This window comes from Homo sapiens, chromosome 10 (genome assembly GCF_000001405.40).
Source record: "Homo sapiens chromosome 10, GRCh38.p14 Primary Assembly".
Classification (NCBI taxonomy): domain Eukaryota; kingdom Metazoa; phylum Chordata; class Mammalia; order Primates; family Hominidae; genus Homo; species Homo sapiens.
In genome coordinates this window covers 97,732,367-97,737,127 of record NC_000010.11, presented here as the reverse complement: position 1 = coordinate 97,737,127, position 4,761 = coordinate 97,732,367, and the positions used below count along the sequence as shown (strand labels likewise).

At 48.1% G+C, this 4,761-nt stretch overlaps 1 annotated feature.

The window, feature by feature from the left end:
• Window positions 135–284: an enhancer, noted in NCBI's record as "active region_3859". NCBI's record gives its function as "activates an Ori minimal core promoter by ATAC-STARR-seq in GM12878 lymphoblastoid cells {active_cell/tissue: GM12878}" and the evidence as "EXISTENCE:reporter gene assay evidence [ECO:0000049][PMID:35858748]".

The following is a 4,761-nucleotide window of genomic DNA, read 5'->3' as shown; positions in this document are numbered from 1 at the left end:
GCTCTGCGGCTGCGTCCTCATGACGTCATCCCGCTCCGGGTTTAGCTCCGCCCACCCCAGCACAGGCAAGCACCCTTGCCAGCAGTGCGCCTGCGCGTCTTTCCCGCGCGCTCCAGGCTGGAGTTAATTCTGTCCTTGGCCGGCCGCCGTTCACAAAGCCTTGAGGACCCTTGGAAGCACGTGCTTGGCGACCCTGCAGCTCGTTGCCCTGCCTTGCCGCAGGGAACAGTTGGCGAGAGGCTTAAATGAAGAATTTACGTCTTCATCCTCTTTCCTTCCAACTTTGGAACTGAACTGGGGACTGTGTGTGAGCCCCGGAAAGACACCGTATCCTGTATGAGATGCCCAGCAGAGCATGCAGTTGTTTCCGGAGTAGCTAGTGTGTACAAGGTCCTGTGCAGGCCTCTCCCAGCTCAGTTCACTTCACACCGTGTGGCCCAGTTAATTTCCCTTAAAGCACACATCCGATGGCTTTATATTAGTGACTTAGCGCTCAGGTACAGAGGAGCCAAGCACTGAACCGGACTGAGCTCTTTTTAGACATTATCTAGTTCTCCTCCAACGACCCTATTAGGGTTGTCGCCATTTTACAGATGGGGAATCTCAGACGTGTTAAGGAACTTCTTTAGAGTCACAGCTAAGAAGCAAATGGGAGCTGGAATTTGAAGCTTATGTGTCATCTGACCCCAACGCCCCAACCATACCACCACCCACCTTGGTCTGCATTTCCTGGTCTTGTCTCCTGCCATCTTTCAGCTGCCTTTAACTTTGGCCAACTGAACCCCTCCACTGTTACCCTCAAATGCCCCTGGCACTCAAATGTCTGTATCCCTTCCTTGAGTGCCCCAGCTGGAAGTAATCACTTCCCTCTTCAAGTAGCCACAGAGCTTTAACTGCATCTCTTCCTCCATTATCTCCTTTCAGAAAGACAGGCCCATCCCTCCAGCCAGGACTTAGCTGTGCTCCAGGGTCCAACTCTTATTTCCTTAGGGCTTTGCTCTAACAGGCCTGAAATCTTGACTCTCGCTAACTCTTAATCATCATTCTAGAGACAAAATTCATGGAAAATTTCTCCTTTAGCCTAACTTTACCCCCTCTTTCCTACATGAGTTGGAAGACTCACTGTGAAGTGCTCTCTACCGCTGCTTCCTCGCCCAATTCACTCCTCACTGCACTGTGGTCCTGCTCCCCTCCATATTTCTGGGCTACCTGCCTGCTCACCTGTGACATCCTGGCTGCTAAATCCAATGGACACTTCCCAGTCCTCCTTGCAGATGACCTCAGAAGCACTGGAATCTCTTTCCTTTTTGGCACCATTGTCCACCTTAGCTTCCATGACACCACCCTCTCCTCTCTTTCCGACCTTCAAGGTCTCCTTAGGGCTTTTCTTCCTACCCCTCAAATGCTGGGGCTCCTTTTGCTACCCTTCTTTCTTCTGACTCAAGGCACTCCGTGAGGATCTCATTCACTCTTGTGGCTTCTGTCAGCTAATGTTTCGTTTCCCGTGTCTATGTCTCCAGCACCTAAAGCAGTACCTGGCACATAGTAGGCATTCTGTTAAGAAGGGTTGCAAGATGTTACCATTGGGGGGTAGTCTGTGGGATCACCCTGTGTTAGTTCTTATAACTATGTATAAATTGACGATTGTCCCAAAAGTAAATGCTTACCCTGTGTAGGTATTTTTCTCAAAGCTCCCTGCTTTAGTTGACTTTGTCAATTACCCGGCATGCGCCAGTCCCAACATAAGTAAGGTAGGAGGGCTTCTCCTCAGATGAATTGCTTGGTTGGTTTTTCCAGCTGTAAAATGGGGATAACCATAGTGGTACCCTCAGTGTGGGGCTGTGATGAGAATTAAATGAGCTAAAGTATGTAAATTCCTGACATGTTATAAGTGTTCAAAAATCGTTAGCAATCATTGTGATTTTTATTTTTACTCAAAGCCCTACCACCACCACCCCTAGCCCAAAAATCAGACAAGAATCCACGAAAGGCCAAAATGTAGAAAGATCCAATTCCCACACATATCACTAAGCCATATACAGAAATCCACTCACCACCCCTTAGAGAAATGGACTGAGCTTTGTGGTGGTCCAGGCCCATCTGCTGGACTCTGCCTCTCCTCCCTTAGGATGGGTCTTTTCCCCGAAAGCTCCTGGGTCTGTCATGCAGATAGCCTCTGAAGGCCCCTCTTCTTCGTTTCCTAACCTGGCCTCAGGTCTGAATTCCAGGATAGGCCATCGCCACTCCCCACCCACTCCCATCCCCCACCCTGTCCACCCCTCTGTACCTTTCTCAGACCACTCTCTTGGTGGATAGTTTCAGTGGCCCCCTGTGACCTCCAGGATAAAACCAAAGCCTGGTGTATTCAACTCTGGCAGTTCTCGGATATGTCACACCTTCTCCCATTACTGTACCTTTCTACAGACTACTCTCACCTTTTTTTTTTTTTTTTTTTTGAGATAGAGTTTTGCTCTTGTTGCGCAGGCTGGAGTGCAATGGAGAAATCTTGGCTCACTGCAACTTTTGCCTCCCAGGTTCAAGCGATTCTTCCGCCTCAGCCTCCTAAGTAGCTGGAATTACAGGCATGCACCACCATGCCTGGCTAATTTTTTGTATTTAGTAGAGATGGGGTTTCACCATGTTGGCTAGACTGGTCTCAAACTCCTTACCTCAGGTGATCCACCTGCCTCGACCTCCCAAAGCGCTGGGATTACAGACGTGAGCCACTGCGCCCCATATTCTTTAGTTGGCCAGCTCTTATTCTTCCTCCAAAATTCAGCTCAGATCTCACCCCTGAAGAAAGACTTCTCTGACACCTTCCCCATCAGCAGCCACTGTCTGGATTACGTGCCCTTCTGACTTGGCTCCGTGGGCCTGCCCCACCCCAGCACTTGGTGCCTCCTCCTCTCTCTAGACAGTGAGAGTCCTGAGGGAACTGCCTATAATTTCTGTGTCCAGCATCTAGCACAAAGGAGGTACCAACAAATGTTCCTTGAATGAGCGCATGCGTGTCAGTTTCCTCTTGGAGCACAGAATTCACATCTCTTTCAACAAAAGCCCCAGAACAATGCCCATTTCTTTTTTCTTTTTCTTATCTTTCTTTCCTTTTTTAATGTAATTTTATTTTATTTTTGAGATAGGGTCTTCTGCTGCTGCCCAGGCTGCAGTGCAATGGTGCAATCATAGCTCACTCTAATTCCTGGGCTCAAACAATCCTCCTGCCTCAGCCTCCAGAGGAGCTGGGACTACAGGTGCACACCACTAACACCTAGCTACTTAATTTTTATTTTTATTTTTTTTTGAAACGGAGTCTCACTCTGTCATCAGGCTGGAGTGCAGTGGCACGATCTTGGCTCACTGCAAGCTCCGCCTCCCGGATTCAAGCGATTCTCCTGCCTCAGCCTCCCGAGTAGCTGGGACTACAGGTGCACACCACCACGCCCAGCTAATTTTTGTATTTTTAGTAGAGACGGGGTTTCACCATGTTGGCCAGGATGGTCTCGATCTCTTGAGCTCGTGATCTGCCTGCCTCAGCCTCCCAAAGTGCTGGGATTACAGGTGTGAGCTACCGTGCCTGGCCAATTTTTTTTTTTTTTTTTTTTTTGTAGAATGAGGTGTTGCTATGTTGCCCAGGCTGGTCATGAATCATTTCTTAAAACAATGACTGTGAAACCAGCAAGAATGAACTGGACAGAAATTCTACCCTCTATGAACTCTTAGTTCAACAGAAGACGCTGACTTGACTGAGCCATGATATAAAGCAGGGGATTCTACTGTAACCGTAGGAGCAGAGAGAAGAGGCAGACTTAATCTAAGTGAGAGGATGGGGAAAGTTTTGTGTTCAACAATGTAGTATTTAAGCTAAGGAGTCCCCACCCTTCTTAAGAAAAATAAATTTTTTTCTTTAATAACCTAAGTACCGGTCAGGCACAGTGGCTCACACGTGTAATCCCAGCACTTTGAGAGGCTGAGGCGGGCAGATCACCTGAGGTCAAGAGTTTGAGACCAGCCTGGCCAACAAGGTGAAACCCCGTCTCTACTAAAAATATAAAAATCAGGCCGGGCGCGGTGGCTCACGCCTGTAATCCCAGCACTTTGGGAGGCCAAGGTGGGCAGATCATAAGGTCAAGAGATCGAGACCATTCTGGCTAACACGGTGAAACCTGGGCTCTACTAAAAATACAAAAAAATTAGCCGGGCATGGTGGTGGGCGTCTGTAGTCCCAGCTAGTGGGGAGGCTGAAACAGGAGAATGGTGTGAACCCAGGAGGCGGAGATTGCAGTGAGCCGAGATCATGCCACTGCACTCCAGCCTGGGCGACAGAGCTAGACTCCGTCTCAAAATAAATAAATAAATAAATATAAAAATTAGCCGGGTGTGGTGGCGCGTGCCTGTAATTCCAGCTACTTAGGAGGCTGAGACAGAAGAATTGCTTGAACCCAGGAGGCGGGGGTTGCAGTGAGCGGAGATCGTGCCACTGCACTCCAGCCTGGGCGACAGAGCAAGACTCTGTCTCGAAAAAATAATAATAATATATATATCCTAAGTGCCTGAAATTCTCACACTGGTAATTTACTCCAAAGGTAAATTTTAGTTTCTTTGCAATTCCTCCTCCTTGGCCTCAGTCTGACAGTGGAGAGTAATAGTATTTGTTTTCTCTTCCAGCAGCTATAGAATTGAGAGATATTATTCAAGAATTTCTAGACATTATCTGGAGGGAACATTGGAGGATACAAGAAGGCTTTAAAAACCAGAAAGGGA